This window comes from Homo sapiens, chromosome 22, assembly GCF_000001405.40.
Source record: "Homo sapiens chromosome 22, GRCh38.p14 Primary Assembly".
Taxonomy (NCBI): Eukaryota; Metazoa; Chordata; class Mammalia; order Primates; family Hominidae; genus Homo; species Homo sapiens.
Window position 1 is genome coordinate 29,268,776 of NC_000022.11, and position 25,363 is coordinate 29,294,138.

At 42.5% G+C, this 25,363-nt stretch overlaps 1 protein-coding gene across 52 annotated transcripts in view, besides 1 other annotated feature; it reads left to right on the forward strand.

Annotated features, from left to right (window-relative positions):
• Positions 1 to 25,363, forward strand: part of EWSR1 (EWS RNA binding protein 1) — a 32,254-nt gene that overhangs the window by 508 nt on the left and 6,383 nt on the right. For 8 of the 52 annotated variants that reach the window (NM_001438500.1, NM_001438536.1, NM_001438532.1 and 5 more), the window contains exons 2-11: positions 3,441 to 3,477; positions 3,605 to 3,656; positions 4,963 to 5,089; positions 9,255 to 9,441; positions 13,615 to 13,782; positions 18,148 to 18,359; positions 19,831 to 20,011; positions 22,787 to 22,824; positions 23,362 to 23,394; positions 23,713 to 23,831. In NM_001438500.1, coding sequence (NP_001425429.1) covers positions 3,441 to 3,477; positions 3,605 to 3,656; positions 4,963 to 5,089; positions 9,255 to 9,441; positions 13,615 to 13,782; positions 18,148 to 18,359; positions 19,831 to 20,011; positions 22,787 to 22,824; positions 23,362 to 23,394; positions 23,713 to 23,831 — 1,154 coding nt within the window. Of the gene's footprint in view, positions 1 to 3,440; positions 3,478 to 3,604; positions 3,657 to 4,962; positions 5,090 to 5,489; positions 5,508 to 9,254; positions 9,442 to 13,614; positions 13,783 to 18,147; positions 18,360 to 19,830; positions 20,016 to 21,637; positions 21,910 to 22,786; positions 22,825 to 23,361; positions 23,395 to 23,712; positions 23,832 to 25,363 lie in introns of those variants that run through there. The other 44 variants (NM_001438528.1, NM_001438539.1, NM_005243.4 and 41 more) reach the window with 13 other exon arrangements.
• Positions 1,041 to 1,090: an enhancer, noted in NCBI's record as "active region_18813". NCBI's record gives its function as "activates an Ori minimal core promoter by ATAC-STARR-seq in GM12878 lymphoblastoid cells {active_cell/tissue: GM12878}" and the evidence as "EXISTENCE:reporter gene assay evidence [ECO:0000049][PMID:35858748]".

Consider the following 25,363-nt stretch of genomic DNA (forward strand, 5'->3'; position numbering starts at 1 on the left):
CCGTTTTCAGGGTTTCCTGAGAAACCAGGGGAAAAAGCAAATAAAGATACCGTGGATTTGTGGGCCGAGGGGTGCCGGCCTATGAGCGGGAGCCCCGTCATCCTTAAGACCCAGTCGGCTGGGGCGTCTGGCGCTGCCGAGCTGCCCCCTCTGTGGCTTCCAGCCCCAAGCCGAACTTCTGCTCGCCTGGGCTTTAGACAGAATGTGCTTCCCTCCTCCAGGGCCCCCAGTTTGCCGCTTTCTTGGGCTTCTCCATTTTTATCGTTATTAATCCACGTCCTCCCCTCCCCCAAAACCAATTAAGTGGCTTCCCAGGGCCCTTTTTCTGCAAACGCCGAGGGACATCCGTTGTATAATAAGGCCAGCCTGGGTCGAGAGACGAGAAACGCTACCAGAAAGATATTTCTGGTCTCTCTGACCTAGGAGGAACAAAAGGCCGAGCCTTCATTTGAATTATGTTTCAGCAGTGGCCTCGCACGTTTATTCGCCTGCGTTAGGCCGGCAGGCCTGTTGATTTCGTAGGTCGACAGAGGAGAGGGGAAAAAAGGCCAGTAGAAGCAATCTTAAAGGCACTTGCAAGCAAGCCCCGGTTGGGAACTCCAAAATGGGAGTAGAGTGGTCCTTGATGGAAGGAGCGTTTAAGAGTGTCGCCTAGCCATCACCTGCAGTTCGCAATCTGTGGGTACACTAACCCGCGAAAATTGGCAGGGTGGAGCATTTTTGCCCCGGGGGTATTCTCAGGCCACCTGGTTCCAGGCCTTAGAGACAGTGGGAGAAGATGAGAAGGAAGACAGGAAAAGTTCTGGGCACTCCAGAGTTTTTGGAGTCCAGAATCCAGCAACTTAAGGACAGTTTAAGAATTCTCCCCATCTGTGGTCAATAAACAGGTAAGTGTTGGCTGTTCGTGCCGGGATACCAAAGAGTGGATACCAAAGAGTGCCGGTAGAAGAGAGGACTGAAATACCACAGCTAACCTCCCGGTGGGAAGTGGTTTCCTAGGTGCCCTATCCACCCTCTTCTGCTCTGCAAAAGCCTGAAAAGGCAAAACGTGTGCGTTGACATTTTTGCGTGGCTGGACGTGCCTTTTTTCAGTCAACTTTGTTCAAACCTTGTTCACCAGTAACTACCATGTGCTGTACTGTATTAGAATTACAGTTGTGGTTTCTGTTGACACAAAGTAAACACATTAGGCCTGGCTGGGGGGGCCTTCAGAGAGTCACATAAGTAATCTGGTCCTTAGTTTCCTTTCCTGTAAAATACAGAAGTTAGGCTAGACCTCTTAAGCTTTTGAGCCCTTCTGACCTTCCAGCATAAGCATTCCACAAATTTGTCCTATGCTGACTTCAGCTCAGGTACTGTGAAGCTCAACTCAGGTAGTGTGAAGCAGCTTCCATAGTGACTGCTCTAAAGTGTTAAACCGTTGCCTTGGGTTAATAATAGAAGTTTTCTCTCCTCGTATGTTATCTCATGTAGAAAAGTACGTAAAGCATATATATCCAGTGCAACAAAGAATTGGAATGCAGACTCGCAGCAATCTAGAACCCCCAGCGCTCAATCACAGTGAAGTGATTTTTAGTGAAGTCAGTGGCTCACTTTTGGGGGTTAAAAACGAACACGGTTGCTGAATAATCTGACCAGTTTGTAATTGTATTAGGTTGGTGCAAAAGTAATTACGTTTGCATCAACCTAATAGCTTGCTTGAGGGCCTGTGATGTTTGTGTGCTCTAGGAAGATAAATGTAAGTTCATGAAACAAATTTGCTACCTTCTATAGCCCACCAGTTAGTATAGGGCCGAATCCTGTGGTTTCTCACTGATAAGAGGTCATTGGTTGTTCCATATCAGCTTTGCCAGTTTGATGTTTTACATAACTGCTCTTGCGTAAAAGTCGTCTTGCAAACGTTGAACTTACATGACAGTGATTTACAATCACTTCTCAAGCAAAGACCTCAACAAAACGTGGGTTAAAATATTTGATGTTAAATGATTCATTGCTGTGTTTATTTTGTAGATGCCACATGGAAAAAATGATCTGCATTTAGTTTTAATGTCAGAGAGAGTATGACTTGTAGTGCTATTGAAAATGCCTTTAAGATTGTCATGAACAGATTATTTTTTTCATTATAGGTTAGCCTTTGGGCAGTTGATTTGTTCCTCTTGGTGATTCAGGGTTTTGAGTTAAGAGTGTGTACAAAGGAAAGAAAGTAGTCCAGTAAAGTACAGAGAGGTAGGCAGATAAGCCAACGTGAAGAGATGGATTCAGCAAAGCTCTCTCAGGCCGCCGAGGGATTGTGAGGCTGGCTTTGGATTCCATGAAGTGGATGCCATGAAGAGCTGTCAATTGTTGGTTTTGGATGAGGGACTACTTTCTGATTGGAAAATAAAGGACCCCTTTTTTCCGTCCTAATGGCAGTACTGTCTTCAGACAGAACAAGATATGTGTTCTTGTGGAGAAGAAAGAATTGGGCAGAATTTTCAAAAATAATTACTTTAACTGCCTTTAAAAAAAAACTAAATTTATCTAACTTTAATGCAGTAGCGCTCTGAAAACTATTTTCCGTTTGTTTTTACTACTTGTAGACACCTCAGTGGACCAGTTTTTGGTCCCTTTGGATGCATGTTATAAATTTCATAGGAAAAGGAAAATTATAGGGAGGTTTACTTAGATAAGGGATGAAAATTCATGTCTTTTTTTTAAGTTGAAATCATTTTGAGTTGTATGAAAGACAATGGTGTTACCAAATTTTTCCCAGAAAGACTAAATGCTTTTTCTTCTTTGCCAGTCTTCAGGGTTCTGCCTTAGCTCTGCTTCACCAGGGTTTATAATATATCTAGCTTTTAAGTTGCTGCACAAATATAGTTCTGACACAGCAAACCCTTTAAAACACTGGAGTGTGGTGACTGCCTTCTTGTCTGCCATTCCGTTTCACTGTCGTTGAGCTAGGGAATGATGGTTTGTCTAACTTGCTAAAGTGAGGGGAGTGAAAACTAATTTTTGAGGAGAGGTAGGTTCTAACGTAACCAATCTAGTGTTAAACTTTGTATTATTGTTGCATGCCTCCGTTTTATATGAGGGTAGAAACTTCTGATCCTGTTAGTAGATCTTGTTGTCAGTCTGTGATATTGATGATCATCCTGTATTTTAAATGACAGTTGGGATTGGGATGGGTTTTGTGGTCATGGGAACATAAAAAGTATACCTGCCAAATCAGCTGATCTTGACCTCATTAGCTAGTCCCACAGTCAAATGTTGAGTTTAACTGGTTTAGACTTTTTTTTCTGTTAGATGTTGAGAGGTAAGGGGGACTCATTTGGACCTGTGTTGGCAGGTCTCCCTACAGTTTAAAGAATTCTTCCTGCCACGTGAATTCTTTCCCCCTTTTTTCTCTTCTCCTTGTTTCTGCTAACTTTACACTATTTTTCCTCCTTGTTTTCCTCTAGATTACAGTACCTATAGCCAAGCTGCAGCGCAGCAGGGGTAAGTCAGTCTTTTATAACCGTATTTTGTGTGTGATTAATATTTTTTGAATATGGAGCCTTCTATAATTGTAGAGGTGGTATTTGAATGTTCTCTATTCAAGTTATTGCATTTAATTCTTTTGCAGCTACAGTGCTTACACCGCCCAGCCCACTCAAGGATATGCACAGACCACCCAGGTAATCTTTAAAATAATTACATGTAGCTGCACCTCCAAGTAAAATCAGTATATTATCCAGTTATCTTTCAGTTATCCAGTAAAACAAATGAGTAATGTGTTTGGAATAGTAAAATACCCAGGCATTTTAAACTTTCACAGTGGGAGTGCGAAGGACTCCATTGTGCCATCATAAATGAAACCATTCAGAAGCTGATAATTGACTCTTTATAACTTTTTAATATGATTTCTCAAGTTAGGTGCCCTGTTCCATGCTTGGTCCTTCTTCATTATGTTTAAATTTAGTGAATTTATTCATCATAGCAATTCTGCAAAGGAAGAGGATGATATGACCATTCTGCAGAGGAGAACATTGCAGTGCATAGATATTAAGTAACTTGCCAGTGGTTGCACAGTAAGTGGCGGGGTTAGCTCTAAAAACTGGCGACCTAGCCAAGGAGCTGCTGAGCTCTTTCCAGTGAAGAGTCTGTTGAAAAGCCTAGGCCAACAGATTCTAGAAATTAGCCTTCTAGTGTTTTCAAGATAATGTTGAATTCTGAAATGATCCATGCCATAAAATGGATACTAATAACTGCCATGGAAACATGTTCTAGGACAAGCAGAATGTGATGTCTCTGGCAGATCTTACATAACTGGTCATTTAAACAAACCTAGAGAATAATCATGCTAATATCTGAAAGAACAACTCTTCCTTGCCTGATTTTAAGTATTATGGATGTCTAAGTTCAAAAGACAGTACTCTTGATGTGCCCACCATAAGAGGACATACAGCGTTCTGGTTCATTTTCTTTGAAGTGGTATAGTAGTTTTAAAGTCTTTTTGTCAGGCTGAAAATCTGGTTTTCAATTTTTTCTGACAGATTTTAGCCCTCTTCATTGCTTTCTCTGTTCATTTGTCTTCGTACCTTTTGTTTCCAATCACTAAAACTGTGCTACGCTAAGTGCTAGCAGTTAATACACCTGTGCCCTTATTGCTCTTCCCTTGAGAGTGTCTTGTTAATCTCATGTATAGTTAACTGAGGTTTTGCCTGATTATCTTTTTTTTCCCCCTTTTGAGAAGCTGTGAATGACATTGCCTACTTACCTAATGAGCTTTTTCCGTAGCTAACTTTACCATAATATGAGTGAACCAGATAAGGGATAACATTCATGATACTGTGATTATTTGTCTTGTTTTGTTGTTTTTGTTTTGTTTTTTTAATCTTCTAGAAAGGAATGTTTTTGATTTTGGTTCTCCAATTTAGTCCATTTTATTGCTAAAATACAAAAGTTCATGTATGAAGTTCTTGCATTCGTTTTTTTTTGGAGCAGGCATATGGGCAACAAAGCTATGGAACCTATGGACAGCCCACTGATGTCAGCTATACCCAGGCTCAGACCACTGCAACCTATGGGCAGACCGCCTATGCAACTTCTTATGGACAGCCTCCCACTGGTAAGGCCTGCCTTGGAGAGATTTTTGGGTCGTTCTGGCTAGGGCATTGGCTAAGAAGCTTATTAGTCATGCTTTCGGATGTATATTCTGGTCCATACCTTGGCATCTGGGGAATCCTTTATTCTTAGGAAGAGGTATTTTTTCTCTTTCTTCCCTACTCTTATAGTCTTGAGAGATCTCCAATAGAATGTGGGTGGGATAAATTCCAAGAGAGAAAAGAACTTTTAACTGTTTGAATAATCTCACGATGAAATGGAGACTATGTAAAAGATTTTGCTAATGCTAATACTGAGTAAGAATGAGTCTTCTTAAATTGAGCTGCTTAAAAATCAAACTGGTTTTCACATGTTTGCTTCATCTGATAGTGTACCCTCTACTTTTTGTTTTGTGCTTTCCACAGTAGAAGGGACCAGTACAGGTTTGACTATCCTGCTCATTCTTGCATGGGAAATGCTTTCCATCTTGTCTAACCCTGTAATGTTAATCCTTTAGGTGTTTTCATTTGTTGAACCCCCAAACTTTCTAACATCACACACAGCAAGGTGCTAATGAAAAACTGCTTCAGGTGCCATTTGCAGATCCATGTCCTATTCTTTATATGATTTTGGGAAAGGTTTTTTTATTTAATATTACTTTGTTTCAAGCCTTAATAATAGTTATTTACCTTCCCAAAGGTATTTCAGGTGATTTCTCCCCAGCTGATTTTCCCCTGTTCCCTGAAGGATAGATTGCATGATGAGATTTATTTAGAGGAGCAGACTGCCACCCTGCATGTATCATGTTTGTCTATTGGTTGGTTTCTAGTCCAGACACATTTTATTTTCTGTTTTAAGTGTTATGAATTATTTTAATCCATGGTATGTCTTGAATATATATAACATTATTCCAAGATACTAAAAAATAAACTATTCTAAGAATTAGAAGAAATTGTATTCCGATACTGAGGTTGGGTGGGATACATGAAAAACCTATGATAATTTTTTTGTGTTCAGTGCTGTGTAATGTTTCAGGCTGTCTCCCCCTGCCCTTTTATTATTGCTGTTATAAAAGACTCTAATAAAGTCTTAAAGATATCAGAGCTCTTATTTTCAAACTGTCTTTAGTTCTCCAAATTATATATAGTCCAGTTAAGGGGAAAAACCTGTCTGTAATTTATCTCATTGAGTACCAGTGTCCTGATTTTGATGGGAAGTAATTCCTAACCTCTTCTAGGGTGTTTCTCAAATAGGATGGGAAATGTTTATCTAAACTTTCTAGTGGTGTTAATTGCAGCTGTGGGAAGAGCTGGAACTAAGGTTATGCAGTTTGGATTTTTTAGCATAGAATTTTGAAATTGTGAGATAAACTTCATGTATTAAAGCCATTACATTTTTTAAAACAAGCATGATGTGAAAGTTAATGTGGCCTAGATCTAGCCTTCCGAATCCTTAGATCATTTTACAGGAATGAGACGGAGTGATTTATAGGCAAATTAATGGTTCTCTAGAGCCATGTATCACATTGTCGTTGGTTGAGAAATCCCCATCATGACTGTGGGCCTAAAAAGTACAGGTCATTCTAGTTTAGAGACTAGTAGCTTTGATGAGCTGGAGATTGCACTTAGTAATAATAATGTTTGTATAAAATTCACAGTTTATAGAGTGGCCTTCTTGTCTCCCTTAATCCTCCCAAGAACTTTTGGGGTATAAAAACACCAAAATTAAGCCTGATGAGCAAACTGTGTGAACAAAACTTAGCAGGAGCCTAATTGGTAGTGCGTGGGTTCAAGCACACATGCTGCATTTTTCCTTACCTCATACTGCCTTTACACATGAAAGTTATCGGATAGTCATTGGAGGGAATACATAGAAATACACTGTTCTCTTCTAGGATTTTTAAAAATTAAACTTCAGAAGAAAGGGGTTATATAAACCTCAATTCAATGGAATTCTTAAAAACTTCTTAATTTTTACGTTGAACAAAAGTTTTGGTTTGTGTAATATTTCTTACCACCTTTTTCCTTCAAGTTGTCAGCACATAGTAGGTGTGTTTTCTTTTTTTGCCACTGGTCTTTTGTTTTTTTGTTTTTTTGTTTTTTTTTTGGTCATTAAATCATTTTGCTCTGTTGATTTTTGTTCATTTTGCTTGGCTGCTTTTGTGGGTACTACAGATTAATTAAAAGGTTATTTATTAACCCAGTGTCTATTGCTGTAATCTTTAGCATGACAAGGCCCTAACTGTTGCTGCATAGTTTTATGACATGAGTTATTGCCCTGATCACTTTTAGTTTTTTGTTTTTTTAATTGCCCTCCTTGTAAATCTTATAGACGTGTCATGTAGTGGGGTGTAATCGGTATATGAACGGTAGGGTAGATGGTATTAGATTCTAATTTAAATAAATGAATGCCTTATGTGGTTGACCTTAGGACTCTGCAAAAACTTAAGCAGTTCAGATGAACAACATGCCAACTCAAAAACTTTTATTGCTTGGGGCTTCCTGTTTTCTGGAACTATGTATACTTTCATACACATTTTAACTCAGCAGTTTTGACAAGGACATTACTATCTCTGTGTATAATTTCAGAATTTCCTTTTAATATTTGAGGTAGAGAAGAAAGAGTATTATTATATTCTGTGCTACAAATGGTGATTGTACAAAAGGAAGCTGATACTTGTTTCTGGCCAGTACATGAGGACACTTTAAGGCCCTAAATCTTAACTAAAATGGGCAGTCTTGATTCAGGATTTATTTTAAATATGGAAGCTTTTTCTTTAGTGAGATGTAGACTTTTTTTTTGGATATAAATGCCAGCACCTAGACCAAAGTTTTGTTTTGTTTTGTTTTTTTAAGATAGGGTCTCTGTTGCCTAGGCTGGATCTTACTGCAGCCTTGACCTCCCAGCCTCAAGCAGTCCACCCACCTCAGCCTCCCAAGTAGCTGGGACTGAAGGCTCACGCCACCATGCCCAGCTAAGTTTGTTTATTTTTTGTAGAGGCGAGGTCTCACTATATTGCCCAGGGTGGTCTCTAACTCCTAAACTCAAGCAGTCCTCCCACCTCAGCCTCCCAAAGTGTAAACCAAACTTTTTATTGCATGGCTTAATTGTACCCATTGACCATGAGGAAGAAGAGTCCAGCACCAGGAATGGTTGTAACACCTCCTACAGGAAAGGTACTCTAGTTAGGAGCTGCAGACTTTCGTGGTTTTGGTCATGCTCCACGCCGAAGTCCCGAAGGGAAAGGCATGGATCCTGCCTGGTCTGGCAGAGGCAGGAGCTAGGGATAGAATGCATCTTGCTTTGCAGCATACCTGTGAAACCAGGTTTTTTCTGACACCTGGTTAGTGAAATACTGAAGGGGAGGAGAGACTCTAGGGTTTACCTCCAATATTGCTGAGCAGGAAAAAGGCCTTTTGCTTGTGGTAGGTAAGTAAGAGGAATGGAGCTGAGTAACTTGATAACGAGGCAGGAATCTGCTTTATGATGTGAAAACATTACCTTTTAAATGTTTGTTTGGAGCAATATCGAAGTTTAATTTTAAATAATTTACAAAAAAAGGATAAACTGTGTTAAGCAACTATAATTTATAGCTTATTTTTATTAATCATGTGCTCAAGTAATTAAGCTTGTGCTTCACATGATGTTAGTGCTTGGGACCAAAAGAAAGTGATTAAATTAATTACTACCCAAATTACAGGTTTTAGTGCTAGAACTAGTACCTGGATCATTTTCTAATTATTTTAAAATGCTATGTCATTTGCCTTTTACCTTTTCTTCTGGGATGTTTTATTCCTGCTTGAGGGTATTTTGGGGTAAGTTTGTTTACAAACTTGTTAAGACGACCTGCTAGCAAAATCAGTACAGACTTGGCAAAAACAGACTTGTCTCCTATTCACAGCATTCAAGAGGGGGCAGAAGGAACCCTGTTTTCTGTAGCATGACATGCCATTTCTGTTAGGTGTGGTTTTAGAGCAAATGAGACAGTTACTTTACCAAAAACTAGGTACATTCAGAGAACTTAGGCTTTAAATACCAGTTTGTTGCTACTCTTGCGGAAGGGGGAATATTTAAAGGGATTCAATATCCTGATGGTTTAAAGTAAGTGGTTTACAAATTGTTCTGATAATGAGTGTCTAGGCAGATCTCTGAGGGGACCTGAAATCTGATGCAGCTCTCCTTTGTTCTAGGTTATACTACTCCAACTGCCCCCCAGGCATACAGCCAGCCTGTCCAGGGGTATGGCACTGGTGCTTATGATACCACCACTGCTACAGTCACCACCACCCAGGCCTCCTATGCAGCTCAGTCTGCATATGGCACTCAGCCTGCTTATCCAGCCTATGGGCAGCAGCCAGCAGCCACTGCACCTACAAGGTAAGGCCATGGTGTCCTTAATGCGTCAGTCTTATGTTGGAGGGAAAGAAAGCAACTGTGTACACTTAAAATAATCTGTGGTTTAGTTCCTTATTAGTGGTTGCTTTCATATACTCTCAGATGTTCACTGTTAGTAACTGATGTGCTAGAACATACCACAGAAATATTCTGCATTTAACAGTGAAATTGGCTGGGCGCGGTTTCTCATGCCTGTAATTCTAGCTCTTTGGGAGGCCGAGGCGGGCGGATCATATAAGGTCAGGAGTTTGAAACCAGCCTGGCCAACATGGGTGAAACCCCGTCTCTACTAAAAATGCAAAAATACCGGGGGGGCGCAGTGGCTCACGCCTGTAATCCCAGCACTTTGGGAGGCCGAGGCAGGGGGATCACAAGGTCAGGAGATCGAGACCATCCTGGCTAACACGGTGAAACCCCGGCTCTGCTGAAAAATACAAAAAATTAGCCGGGCATGGTGGTGGGTGCCTGTCGTCCCAGCTACTCGGGAGGCTGAGGCAGGAGAATGTCATGAACCCGAGAGGCGGAGCTTGCAGTGAGCTGAGATCGCTCCACTGCACTCCAGCCTGGGAGACATAGCAAGACTCGGTCTCAAAAAAAAAAAAATAGAAAAATTAGCTGGGCGTGGTGGCGCACACCTGTAATCCCAGCTACTGGGGAGGCTGAGGCAGGAGAATTACTTGAACCTGGGAGATGGAGGTTACAGTGAGCTAAGATGGCACCATTGTACTCTAGCCTGGGCGACAGAGGAAGACTTCACCTCAAAAAAAAAAAAAAGTGAAATGGTGCTATCGAAGGGTCAAAATGAGGAATGGCACTGAATAGGTTCTCTGGTTTCAGAATGACCTTTTAGGGTAGGAGAAGGCTATTGTTTTTAAACCCAGAAGAAGAGAGAGAGAGAGTGTGTGTGTGTGTGTTTTCACTCAAAACAGCATAACTGATAGAATTGTACTTTTGAATTGTACTTTTGATGCTTTTATCTTTGATTTCATTGACCCTGTAAATGGGTAACCGCTTTCTCTTTGGCAAAAACATGGTAGTTCACACAGGCAGGAGGGGAAGGGAGCATCATGTGAGTCAAGAAATGGTCGTATGACCTAATTGTCTGGAAAGGACATAACCATATTCAAGAAATCAAACATTACTGTCTCGGCTTAAGCAATTGACATGACTTCCCTACATTGTATAGAGGCTTAATCTAAATATTATAGGCAAATAAAAATTCTTAACTGGGTACCCTGCTATAGGATGAGCAGAGCTCATACCCCATGACTGGTTAGCAGGTAAACAGTATAATTATTACTTAACAAAAGATTTTAGATCTTTGCTTTAGGCAGTCACTTAACTGGCTTGTGTATACAGTCTTGAAAGGACATTGAATTCTGGTTTGAAAGAAGACATTTTAGGAAATCAACTTCTAACCTAGATATATCTGCTCTAGAGGTAAGAAATTAGCTCTGACAAACACTCGTGAAATTACTTTTAAAATGCACAGTGAGTAATCGGAGCCGCTTGGCAATTTACCCTTGGTAGACCACCTTTGCAGTAGCTAAGTTAAACTTAGTGGCTTATTCCTGAAAGGCCTCATTTCCGAGTGTCATCAGATGTATGAAGTCCCATTTGATACTCTGATGCAACAGTATATCCAAGCCATATCTGGAGGGTTTTATATATGAATTGGGTTTTGATAAGTCATCCTTTTTTTTTCTTTTCACTTGTTACCACTTTAAAACAGCTGTCTGTCTCATAATCAGTGGCAACTGCTTTTTCGACTGGAAAAGGGTATGGGACCTATTTCAGCTCAGGAAAAGTTAGTACTTCACACCCTCTCTGGTTTTTCTGGGTTGGTTGGTTGGTTGGTTGGTTTTTGAGATGGAGTGTTGCTCTGTTGTCCAGGCTGGAGTGCAGTGGCGAGTGCACCCACCACCCAGGTTCAAGCAATTCTCCTGGCTTAGCTTCCCGAGTAGCTGGGACTACGGGCATGTACCACCATGCCCGGCTAATTTTTGTATTTTTAGTAGAGGCAAGGTTTCACTATGTTGGCCAGGCTGGTCTCGAACTCGTGACCTCAAGTGATCCGCCTGCCTTGGCCTCCCAAAGTGCTGGGATTACAGGTGTGAGCCACCGCACCCGGCCTGCCTGTTGATTCTTTGGACTTTGCTTAAAATATTAATAGCTCTAACTCAGTCTGCTGCAGCCTTGATGTAAAGTGTTAGGGCCAAGAGGTAATAGAAACCCCTGGAGTTTTCCTTGGAACTGAGATTAATTTTCGTCATTTAACAGGGATACTTACTTCCAGGTTCATCTGAGCAGGGACTTGGGAGGGGTCTCTTTGCCTTACTCTGGTGTTTCCATTACGGAGACTTTGAGCCAAGTTAGATTAGTTTATGGCAGCCCAGTTTAGGAAATGATTTTTTTCTGGTTGGTTGGATGGTTTGGTTGGTTTTTTTTTTTTTTTTAAGATGGAGTTTTGCTCTTGTTGTCCAGGCTAGAGTGCGATGGCACAATCTCGGCTCGCTGGAGCCTCCGCCTCCGGGGTTCAAGTGATTCTCCTGCCTCAGCCTCCTGAGTAGCTGGGATTACAGGTGCCCGCCACTCTGCCCAGCTAATTTTGTGTGTGTGTGTGTGTTGTTTTTTTTTTTTTTTTTTTTTTTTTTTTTTTTTTTTTGACAGAGTCTTGCTCCGTCGCCCAGGCTGGAGTGCAGTGGCGCCATCTCAGCTCACTGCAAGCTCCGCCTCCCAGGTTCATGCCATTCTCCTACCTCAGCCTCCCAAGTAGCTGGGACTACAGGCACCCACCATGATGCCTGGCTAATTTTTTGTATTTTTAGTAGAGACAGGGTTTCACTGTGTTTGCCAGGATAGTCTCGATCTCCTGACCTCGTGATCCTCCTGTCTCAGCCTCCCAAAGTTCTGGGATTATAGGTGTGAACCACCGCTACCAGCCAATTTTTTGTATTTCTAGTAGAGACGGGGTTTCTCCATGTTGGCCAGGCTGGTGTCCAACTCCTGACATCATGCAATCCACCTGCCTTGGCCTCCCAAAGTGCTGGGATTATAGGCATGAGCCACCGCACCTGGCAGTTTGTTTTTTTTGAGATGGAGTCTCTCTGTTGCCCAGGATGGAGTACGCGATCTAACAGCTCACTGCAGCCTTCACCTCCCATGCCCCAGCAGTCCCTCCCACCTCAGTCTTCCAAGTAGCTGAGACCACAGGCATGTACCACCATACCTGGCTAATATTTTTCTATTTCTGTAGAGGTGGGGTCTCCCTATATTACCAGGCTGGTCTGAAACTCCTGGGCTCAAACCATCCTCCTGCCTCAGCCTCCCAAAGTGCTGGGATTTTTTTTGTTTGTTTGTTTTTGAGACGGAGTCTTGCTCTGTCGCCCAGGCTGGAGTGCAGTGGCGCGATCTCGGCTCACTGCCAGCTCCGCCTCCTGGGTTCACGCCATTCTCCTGCCTCAGCTTCCTGAGTAGCTGGGACTACAGGCGCCCACCACCATGCCTGGCTAATTTTTTTTTTTGTATTTTTAGTAGAGACAGGGTTTCACTGTCTTAGCCAGGATGGTCTCAATCTGCTGACCTCGTGATCCGCCCTCCTCGGCCTCCCAAAGTGCTGGGATTATAGGCATGAGCCATTCTCGCCTGGCCTTGACCTGGTCTGTTTTTAATAAATGAGAAACATAAACCCACAAATTCTCTAAATTTATGATGCCATGGACTTACGTAAATGTTACTTCAACCTAAAACTTAACATTATTGTTAGTTTCTGGTCTTCAGCAGTCCCCTTTGAGAAAAAGCATTTATTCCCTAACAGATCACTTCTCCCGGATCACCTAAACTGGTAGCACACAATATCGCAACGCACTTTTATAGCGTTTACTGTGATGAATGGAGCATATTAATGTCTCTTCTGTGGATATGATTGATTCTCCCCCTTCCTTAGTGTTGTCTTCAAGCAAATATAGTTGGACCGACACTGAGTTTGATGTAGTTTACTTTAGGATTGTATTTATTATTGTATTTATTTCCAGGCTTAATCATAACATTGCTTATTGCTCGTAGCTTTGTAGCATTCTTACCCAGGAGTTTTGTGGTTGACCAACCACACAAAAAAAGTCACTTTTTAATTTTATTTATTATTTCTCCTCTTAGACCGCAGGATGGAAACAAGCCCACTGAGACTAGTCAACCTCAATCTAGCACAGGGGGTTACAACCAGCCCAGCCTAGGATATGGACAGAGTAACTACAGTTATCCCCAGGTACCTGGGAGCTACCCCATGCAGCCAGTCACTGCACCTCCATCCTACCCTCCTACCAGGTCAGTCTACTTTTTGTGGCAAAACAAAAACAGTGACAAAACAGTTTTTTTCAGGTTGTTGACCAGCTTGCTTTGACTTCTTCAGCTAAGGTATGTTATCTGACTGTCGCAGTGATAAGTCATCTGACCATACTTGGTTACATTAAAGCCTGAGATCTAGGGTCCCATAGTGTTGCCTGGCAGCTAATAACTATTCTTTTTTCTTTTTTTTTTTTTTTCCCCCGAGACGGAGTCTCTCTCTGTCGCCCAGGCTGGAGTGCAGTGGCGCGATCTCGGCTCACTGCAAGCTCCACCTCCTGGGTTCACGCCATTCTCCTGCCTCAACCTCCCGAGTAGCTGGGACTACGGGTGCCCGCCACCACGCCCAGCTAATTTTTTGTATTTTTAGTAGAGACAGGGTTTCACTGTGTTGGCCAGGATGGTCTCAATCTCCTGACCTCGTGATCCACCCATCTCGGCCTCCCACAGTGCTGGGATTACAGGCGTGAGCCACCGCACCCGGCCCAGCTAATAACTATTCTTTCTAAATACAAAAACATTTTTACCACTCTAAGTTCTTTCTTTAAGTTTCTTCCTTTTGCTGTTTTAGTTAACTCAGATGGGAAGCAGAAGTATATGAAAGCATGTAAATAGATGTAAGAGCCATCTTCCCCAATGCAGTTAGGATAAGTAAAGCGCAGGGCATTATAATTCACCTTAATCATTTTACATTTTACCTAACACATAAAGGTTTATTCATGCACTAACCTTTTAATGTATGGGCCAACTCTTTTTATTTTATTTTTATTATTATCGCCTGGCCAAGTTTTCTTTTTTGAGACAGAGTCTCACTCTGTTGCACAGGCTGGAGTGCAGTGGCACGATCTCCGCTCACTGCAACCTCTGCCTCCTAGGGATTCTCATGCCTCAGCCTCCCGAGTAGCTGGGACTGCAAGTGCATGCCACCACACCTGACTAACTTTTCTTTTTGTTTTATTGTTGTTTTGAGATGGAGTTTCGCTCTTGTTGCCCAGGCTGGAGTGCAATGGCACAATCTCGGCTTACTGCAGTTTCCACCTCCTGGGTTCAAGTGATTCTCCTGCTTCAGCCTCCTGAGTAGCTGGGATTACAAGTGCTCACTACCACACCTGGCAAAAATTTTTTTTTTTGTATTTTTAGTAGAGACAGGGTTTCACCATGTGGGCCAGGCTTGTCTGGAATTCCTGACCTCAGGTGATCCACCCGCCTCCACCTCCCAAAGTGCTGGGGTGACAGGCGCGAGCCCCTGCGCCCAGCCAGTTTGTTTGTTTGTTTTGAGATGGAGTTTTGCTCTTGTTGCCCAGGCTGGAGTGCAATGGCGTGATCTTGGCTCACCGCAACCTCTGCCTCCTGGGTTCAAGCGATTCTCCTGCCTCAGCCTCCCTAGTAGCTGGGATTAGATACAGACGCCACCACAACCGGCTAATTTTGTATTTTTAGTAGAGACGGGGTTTCTCCATGTTGGTCAGGCTGGTCTTGAACTCCCATCCTCAGGTGATCCGCCTGCCTCGGCCTCCCAAAGTGCTGGGAATACAGGCATGAGCCACTGCGCCTGGCCCAGTTTTTGTATTTTTAGTAGATACAGGGTTTCACAATGTTGGCCAGGCTGGTCTTGAACTCCTGGCCTCAAGTGATCCGCCCACCTTGGCCTCCCAAAGTGCTGGGATTATGGGATTACAGGTGTGAGCCACCATGCCCAGCCTGCAAGTTTTCTTAACCCATGTTTAATTAGATGTGGGTTTTCAAATTGTTTGAATTGTGCCCTGAAAGTTTTGCTAGAAGTAGCGGTTCCCTTTTTTGCACTCATTTCATTGTTTTGCAGCAGATGTGAACAGGTTTAGGAACAAGTAGAATTGATTGGGTGTCTCTCCATACAGCCAGCTTGGAGCAAAAGTGGGTAGGGCTTACAACCCTTCTTCCACAGAGCAGGTTCGTACCTATTGCATTGAGAGCAGTTAATAGCAGTTAATCTGGCAAGTTGGATAGGTACACAGTGAGAGATTATTGAATTCATACAGCAATGGTGAGGGATGTGGTGTGTTAGAAGCTTTGTTTGTTTGTTTATTTTTGGAGACCGGGTCTCACTCTGTTGTCCAGGCTGGGGTACAGTGACACAGTCGTAGCCCCCTGTAGCCTCGAACTTCCTGGCCTAGTTTAATCGGACTTTAAAATATGTGTCCTTACTGTTTCTCATCATGATTTGTAAAGCTTAATACCAGATGGGTTTTTTTGTTTTTGTGTGTGTTTTGTTTTGTTTTTTTGAGACGGAGTTTCACTCCTGTTACCTAGGCTGGAGTGCAATGGTGCGATCTTGGCTCACCGCAACCCTCGCCTCCCAGGTTAAAGTGATTCTCCTACGTCAGCCTCCCAAGTAGCTGGCATTATAGGCATGTGCCACCACACACAGCTAATTTTGTATTTTTAGTAGAGACGGTGTTTTTCCATGTTGGTCAGGCTAGTCTCGAACCCCTGACCTCAGGTGATCCACCCGTCTCTGCCTCCCAAAGTGCTGGGATTACAGGTGTGAGCCACTGCTTCTGGCCCTTGTTTTTTTTTTTTTTTTTTTGAGATGGAGTTTTGCTCTGTTGCCCAGGTTGGAGTGCAGTGGCGCTGTCTTGGCTCACTGCAGCCTCTGCCTTCCAGGTTTAAACAGTTCTCTTGCCGCAGCCTCTCGAGTAGCTGGGACTATAGGCGTGTGCCACCATACCCAGCTAATTTTTGTATTTTTAGTAGGTGGGGTTTCACTATGTTGGTCAGGCTGGTCTCAAACTCCTGACCTCAGGTGATCCACCTGCCTTGGCCTCCCAAAGTGCTGGGATTACAGGCATGAGCCTTCAAACCTGGCCAATACCAGTTCTTTTCAAGCTTCATTTCTGTGCAAGAATGTATCTATTAATTTCTCCCATGTAATTGACATAATCTTAATATTTGTCTTTCATACAATTCCTTCATTCTGAAGTTTCCTCTATTAATACTCAGATTTCATAGTTAATCAGGCATGTCTGAAAGATTGAAAGTAGCAAAGACAAATCTTTGAGGGAAAACTACTATTTTTGTGTTGAGTACCCTTATCCCTTCAGAAAATCGTTAACTCGAGATTATTGGCGGGCAGGCTTGGAACTGAATGCCTCACTTCACTCTCTCTATATTTTCTCAGTCCCCATTTCACTGGGTCAGCCTTCCCCAAGTGCATATTCTTGCCACAATACAGGAAGCATCTAAACTCCCATATTTGCCTGCCTTGAATATAGTTGAAAATGACGTTTTGTTTTGTTCTTTTGAGACGGAGTCTCGCTCTGTCGCCCAGGCTGGAGTGCAGTGGCACTATCTCGGCTCACTGCAAGCTCCGCCTCCTGGGTTCATGCCATTCTCCTGCCTCAGCCTCCCCAGTAGCTGGGACTACAGGCGCCCACCACCAGGCCTGGCTAATTTTTTGTATTTTTTAGTAGAGATGGGGGTTTCACCATGTTAGCCAGGATGGTCTCGATCTCTTGACCTCATGATGTGCCTGCCTCGGCCTCCCAAAGTGCTGAGATTACAAGCGTGAGCCACCGCACCCGGCCTGATTTTTTGGGTTTTTTTTTGGAGACGGAATCTTCACTCTGTTCCCGAGTCGCCAAGGCTGGAGTACAGTAGCGGATCTCAGCTCACTGCAAACTCCACCTCCCGGGTTCATGCCATTCCCCCAGCCTCAGCCTTCCAAAGTGCTGGGATTACAGGCATGAGCCTCCGCTCCCAGCTGAAAATGACCATTGTTTTAAATGGGAGTGGCGATTAAGAGAAAACTCTTTAAGGATTATACAGATGGTGGTTATAATATTTCCCCCTCCCAGCTGGGCACCGTGGCTCATGCCTGTAATCCCAGCACTTTGGGAGGCCGAGGTGGGCGGATCATGAGGTCAGGAGATGGAGACCATCCTGGCTAACAAGATGAAACCCTGTCTCTACTAAAAACAAAAAAACTAGCCAGGCGTGGTGGTGGGCACCTGTAGTCCCAGCTACTCGGGAGGCTGCGGCAGGAGAATGGCATGAACCCGGGAGGCAGAGCTTGCAGTGACCGGAGATCACGCCACTGCATTCCAGCCTAGGCAACAGAGCAACACTCTGTCTCAAAAAAAAAAAAAAAAAAAAAAAAAATTTTTTTGTTTTACCCTCCCATTTAATGTTTTATTCTGAACACAAAAGTATTTGCTGAGTTGAAATTCAAATTGTTGATGTGTAGAAAGTAACTACTGTTTTATGGATGTCTGTGTCACATGGTGTGAATGTCTCTTTTATTCAGGGGATTTGAAATAACAAGCCTCTTTCTAAAAAAGCTTTTTTTTTTTTCTCTTCTCTCTCTTTCAGCTATTCCTCTACACAGCCGACTAGTTATGATCAGAGCAGTTACTCTCAGCAGAACACCTATGGGCAACCGAGCAGCTATGGACAGCAGAGTAGCTATGGTCAACAAAGCAGCTATGGGCAGCAGCCTCCCACTAGTTACCCACCCCAAACTGGATCCTACAGCCAAGCTCCAAGTCAATATAGCCAACAGAGCAGCAGCTACGGGCAGCAGAGTGAGTTGCTAAGAGAGAAAACCAAATAAGAATGAATGTGTTTAGAGTTTTTTTGTGGGGTTGATTTTTTTTGTTGGTTTGTTTTTCTTTTGAGATGGAGTTTCACTCTTGGGGCTGAGGCTGGAGTACAGTGGTGCCATCTCAGCTCACTGCAGCCTCCGCCTCCTGGTTCAAGCAATTCTCCTGCCCCAGCCTCCCGAGTAGCTGAGATGATAGGCGCCTGCCACTATGCCCAGCTATTTTTTGTATTTTTCGTAGAGACGGGGTTTCACCATGTTGGTCAGGCTGGTCTCGAACTCCTGACCTCAGGTGATCCTCCCGCCTCAGCCACCCAGAGTGTTGGGATTACAGTCATGAGCCACTGCGCCCAGCCACGTTTGGAGTTTTTGAACAGGGGGAATACTCTTTGCCATTGTTTGCTTTTGGAATCCAGGACACATCTTTAGGGCATGGCATTCCAGCTAACATCTTGGATGCCCCAGTGAAGATTTCAGTGCTTTTTTCCAATTTGTTTTTAGTATGCCTTGGCAAAAAAGAAAAGAGATACTAATTGATCAGAAAAAATGTTTTAGACTGCTAGCCCTGCTGTCTTTGGGGAAGTTGTATGCAGTGAGTAAATTCAACATCGTTTTTGGCCTCCCTATCAGTCATTAATGTAAAGTGGGGAGGCAGCTATTGCAGGCCACTATGATTTTGATAGTCAAGTAAAAGCTATGTTTTTTTGTTGCTGTTTGTTTATATCCATTAAGGGGAAAAATGGCCAGGCATGGTGGCTCACACCTGTAATCCCAGCACTTTGGGGGAGGCCAAGGCAGGAGGATCACTTGAGACCAGGAGTTTGAGACCACCCTGGGCAACATAGTGAGACCCTGTCTTTTTAAAGATAAATAAAGATTCTTTAAGAAAATAGAAAAGGAAAGGGGGAAAAATAATCCTCCTCACAGAATATTTGCAGTTCTTCTGTATGGAGAGAGGTAACCAAAACACATAATTATCTTCAGAATTTAGGATCATTGCTCTTTTTAAATTACATTCTATCCACGGGGATTTCTCAACAACTCAAAGGAGTAGTGTTGATTTATGGAGCTCAGCCCCTAGCAGTGTGCTAAAGCCCTAAGAAACCTGGCTCTGTTTTCATTTCTTGAGTTTAGCTCAAAAGAAGCTGCTTTTGGAGACATCTTAGGATATAGAACCCTATAAACTATATGTTAGCCAGAGGGCTTTTTTTGTTGTTGTTATTTAGAAGAGGTTTATTATAGGCTAACTATATAAGGTTATTTCAGCTGTGATGATCCAGCAGTTTTGTTGAACTTAAAAGAGCCTACCTATTAAGGATGCTTTATCGTGATGTAAAGAAGATGGTGCCTTGGTTAGTGCCTTGGAATTGAGGATTTTGTGATTCCAGGAGAAAGTACATCAGGCAGTGGTGTAAATGCTGGTCCATGGCTTACAGATGTGACTCTTTCCTCAGGTTCATTCCGACAGGACCACCCCAGTAGCATGGGTGTTTATGGGCAGGAGTCTGGAGGATTTTCCGGACCAGGAGAGAACCGGAGCATGAGTGGCCCTGATAACCGGGGCAGGGGAAGAGGGGGATTTGATCGTGGAGGCATGAGCAGAGGTGGGCGGGGAGGAGGACGCGGTGGAATGGGGTAAGAGCAAACCTTTTCTCCTTTTACCTAATTTTGTTTCATCCATAGGATTTTCAGTGGAAAGAAGGGACTGAAAGACATAAGAAATTAATTTCTGCATTTCCATGGACAATCTGTTGAGCTCAAGCCATCTTCTAAAACATGGAAATGTCATCTTTGTGGCATATATTAAGTGGCAGTTTATTTTCTTTCCCTGCCAGTATACTTCGTTGGGTCGGGGAGAACAAAGAATGGTTTTGAAACCAGAGCTTTCAGTTCCCTTCATGGTTTCCAGAGGTGAGAAGCCTCTGTGGGTAGTAGATTTGGGATGGAACACACACAACCCTTCTAATGACCCTAAGTTGTTAACTAACTGCCTTTGAATGGTTGTCTTGAAATACCTGGTGTATATACTGCAGAAAAGGAATGCAGCTGTTTTCCACAGTGTTTGTCCCCAACTTCTGTTTGTACTCAGAATCGTTGAACATATGAAGATTTTGGTCCCATAATCCTTAAACTATAGCCTGAGGTGCACCTGATTACATAGAGTTTGGATGGAGCAAAGAAAAATCCAATAGCATTTTGCAGAGTAATGTATATAATTATGGGCTCACTTCCTACTGGAGATGTTGAAAGTCTAAATCGGTTTGACCATTTTGATTGATGGCACAATCTGGTTTAGAAAACTTTGTTTAGATCAATGACATAACCCTGCTGCCTCTGCCTGCCCTTCCCCTCCCTTCTCCCATCCCCTTTTCCCTATCTGGTGTCTGTACTTTGATGAAGGTGAGCTATAATATTGGTGGTTAACATAATCCAGAAGGCTTAGTTCTGTGTGTGTTCTGTCCCTATATAAACTGGTAAAGAAAAAAAAAAGTTATGCAGAATGTTAGATATTTACATTTGATACGGTGTGCCACTATTCAAGGAAAAATTAAATAGCATTTTTTAAAAAACAGAATGAACTTCAAAATTAAAGTTGATTTTTAACTTCCATATTAGCAAATACTCTTCACTACTGAAAGACAGTACTATTTTGCATATTCTGCATAACTTTAAGAAAGTCTTTAGTGAAATCTTTATTGGAAGAAAGTCATTTGACAACAGGCAAAAATTTAATGATTCGGTATGAAGTAAAATCAATCTTCTGATTTGGAAAATACTCTATTATAAAGGTTTCACTTCTTTTTGGATGTTTTAAAATAGACATAGACACTTGAAAGTACTATCATCACGTCTCAAATCACCTAGAATTCCTAGTATTTTTAAATTGCAAATACAATTTCAAGTTTATTTAAATACTCCAGAAGTTATAATCCTACTAATTGTGCTAGACTTTGCTAGTAGAGGGGGCCCCTCTTTCTGGATGAGAAGTCTCTCTTGCAGCCATAGAAGAGACCATGGCTTTCCCCATAGGTTTTTCAACAGACTGTGAAGCAGTCTGTCGGATCCTGTGGGGATAGACGGGCATTTCCCTCGTTGCCCCCCTTTTTATTGTGGTGTGGTGATGGTTTTCAGTGTCTTGTACAGGTAAGGCACTCAATGTTGTTAACATGCCCTTTTTCATTGCCTCAGTATTTTGATATTTTCATTGGCTGTTAAACGTGGAAACTTTTTAACATGCTTTGTCGCATTTATATGCTACAGGTTACAAAGTGAGAGCCTTGTATACACTTCAATACTTAAAAAGTACCCGTACTCAGTACTCAGCCGGCAGCATAATGAAAAGTGGGACTAGACACGGTGTCCATATGGAGAGGAAAAATATACATAGAATATTTTTAACAAAATGTATTCATTGTATAAATGGAATCCTTCTGTAACTTTGGTAACTGCATACTTGTTGTTTGGTAATGAACCAGAGGAGGTATAATACTCTAGAATTGTGTAACATTAAAGTGTAAACTTTTGTGTTTAAAGAGAGAGAACATTTTATGGTGTGTACTTTTAAAAAGGAAACAAAGCTGCATGCAACAGCTTGAAATTGTATATTCAGGTATTAAAGGTGCAATACTGGTTAGAAAAAACTCAGGGCCTCCCACTGGGGAGCTGCCTTTATTTAATTTTAAAGAAAACAAAATCTAACCCAAAAAGTCCAATTCATATTTCCCTCTCCCCTCTTTAAGTAATTTTACATGGCCATAGTCATTATTCTAACTGATATGTCTATAAAGTTGCACCCCCAGTCCGTTGAGCCTTGGTATTTGTTGTAAATTCTCCTTTCACAGCGATTGTTAAATCTATTCGTGCCCTGAGATGTATGGCTTTATGCTGAAGATTGGCTGGATGCGTCCTCTGATGTGTGTTGTAGGAATTTAATGTGGTTGTCTCCTGCTTTTATTATACTGTGACTTGTTAGGAAACCCTGGGCCTCATTTGGCTCTCCCTTGGGAGAGGTTGAGGGTGCACCTTTATGAACATGGAAAGGTTTATCACAGCAGTTAACCCCCACTTGCTCCTCCCCTCTATACCAAGCTCTTCTGGTTTTTCACCTGACGGGGTGGGTGTTTGGGATCTATTTTTTCTTGCTAATTTGCCAAGTATTGCACTATTAATACCAGCCCCCGAAATGAAAGGAACCAACCACACTGGTGTGTACAATCAGACAAGCAAGGTTGTATATTGAGGAAATTTGAGCAAGCTGCCCTGAAGAAAGGCATAGTGACAAGATGAGAGAGATGCATTGTTTGGAGATGTGTTTAGCCAGTGCCCTTCTTCCCCACGAGCCCCCCCAAGGCTCAGAGCGGTACTGGCTTTTAAAGGGAAAGGCCTTCATTTCTTCGTTTATCCCCCCAGCAGCGCTGGAGAGCGAGGTGGCTTCAATAAGCCTGGTGGTAAGTTTTTGAGTATTACCATAGATAGTGTTTAAAAAAAAATGCAGTCAGTTTTTAGAAAACTATAATTTTTTTATTAGTTTCATAAGTGGTTTAAAAATGATCTATACAAAAGAGACTAATGGGTACTGCCGGCATTGTCTTAGGGGTTAATAAGGTTAACCTATGGTTACAAAACAAAGGGTAACTTGAAGTATTGAGTAACTGCTTCTGTAATATGGGGGAGAATAAATTTTTAAATTTGGTTTATTTAGAGGAAAAATTTTGACTTAAATTTAACACTGATTTGGCACATAAGCATTGAGAGTGTATTTGGTTAATGGTTTAGAAGCAAACCAGCAAAGGAAAAAAGCAAACCCTAGCAAACCTTTCACAAATGTTAAAGAGACACTGCTCCATTTTAGCAGTGCGGGTCATTTTGAGTTTAATGAATCCCCATCAAATGGTGGTATAGTAGATAGCTATGTGTGTTTGTAAGGTTTGTAGCTTGCAAGACGTGCACTAATAATATTTTATATGATCTTTCCTGGTTGGCAGGACCCATGGATGAAGGACCAGATCTTGATCTAGGTAATTTTGAATTCTAGTTGTGCTTCATATCGTGCTTTGTAAATTAATGGTACAGAGGTAAATGCATGCGTAGAGTTCAGCAGCCTTATAGACCAGTGTGATATTCTTGCTGTCAAGGACAGTTTGGGAAATCCTATGTGAGCATCTACTCATAATTGCCTTAAGTGAAGTAAACCAAAAGTTTGATAGCATTCTTCTTAGTATGCTTGGTAGTTTTCTTAGATTTATGATGAATATCCTTGGGCAGTAGTGATCAGGTAGTTAAGAAACCCCTATAGATACATGATAATAATTCTCCTGTCTTGTTGTCTCTGAAAGGCCCACCTGTAGATCCAGATGAAGACTCTGACAACAGTGCAATTTATGTACAAGGATTAAATGACAGTGTGACTCTAGATGATCTGGCAGACTTCTTTAAGCAGTGTGGGGTTGTTAAGGTCAGTAAAAGCATAACCAGGTCATCTGGCAGAACTTTAAACCACAGAGCATTTTAAAGAGATTGAATTGATGTTGAGAGTTGTTTTCTAAGGTTGCCTTTGCCTGACTTCTTTCTAGGTATCTTATGGTTTGTTCCTTTTTAAAAAAGATTAGCCTTTTTTTTTTTTTTTTTTTGAGACGGAGTTTCCTTCTTGGTGCCCAGGCTGGAGTGCAATGGCGCAAGTCTTGGCTCACTGCAACCTCTGTTCAAGCGAATCTCCTGCCTCAGCCTCCCAAGTAGCTGGGATTACAGGTGTGCGCCACCAGCTAATTGTGTCTTTTTAGTAAAGATGGGGTTTCACCGTGTTGGGCAGGCGGGTCTCAAACTCCTGACCTCAGGTGATCTGCCCACCTTGGCGCCTCCCAAAGTGCTGGGATTACAGGTGTGATCCCCTACGCCCGGCCTTCCCTCCTCCACCCCTAGGGACAGAGTGTTGCTCAATCTCAGCCTCCCAGGTTCAAGTGATTCTCCCACCACAGCCTCTTGAGGTAGCTGGACTTATAGGCACATGCCACCACACCCAACTAATTTTTATATTTTTAGTGGAGATGGATTTTTGCCTGTTGGCCGGGCTGGTCTCTAACTCCTGGCCACCTCAAGTGGCCACCTACCTCAGCCTCCCAAATTGCTGGGATTACAAGCATGAGCCACTACACCCAACCTCAAATTATTGTGTCTTTATGCTAATTCTTCATAGCTAGTAACGCAGATTTTTTCTTCAGGGATTTTGACTGTTTTTCAGTTCTTGCTCTTCTGTATTAGAGTTAGTTTATGAACCCCATAAACCTCAAAACCTTAAAACCCCAATTGAATATTTACTAAATCTATGAAGTAATTTCAGGAGAATTTACATTTTTATGATACTGAGTGATCTTTTTTTCCCCATGAAGATTTTATTTCTCCATTTATTTGTATATTTATTTGCTTATTTATTTACTGAGACAGTCTTGCTGTGTCACCAGGCTGGAGTGCAGTGGCACGATCTCGGCTCACTGCAGCCTCTGGCTCCTGGGTTCAAGCGATTGTCCTGCCTCAGCCTCCTGAGTAGCTAGGATTACAGGTGCCCGCCACCACACCCAGCTAATTTTTGTATTTTTAGTAGAGATGGGGTTTGGTGAAACCATGTTGGTCAGGCTGGTCTTGAACTCCTGACCTCAGGTGATCTGCCGCCTCAACTCCCAAAGTTTTGTGATTGCAGACATGAGCCACTGTGCCTGGCCTGTCTCTATTTGTTATTTTATTTTACTTTGAGACAGAGTCTCACTCCTTCACCCGGCTGGATTGCAGTGGCGCAGTCTTGGTTTACTGTAACCTCTGCCTCCCGGGTCTCCTTGCCTCAGCCTCCCGAGTAGCTGGAATTACAGGCGCCTGCCAGCACCCCTGGCTAATTTTTGTAAGTAGAGATGGGATTTCACCAGGTTGGTCAGGCTGGTCTTGAACTTCTGACCTCACGTGATCCACCCACCTAGGCCTCCCAAAGTGCTGTGATTA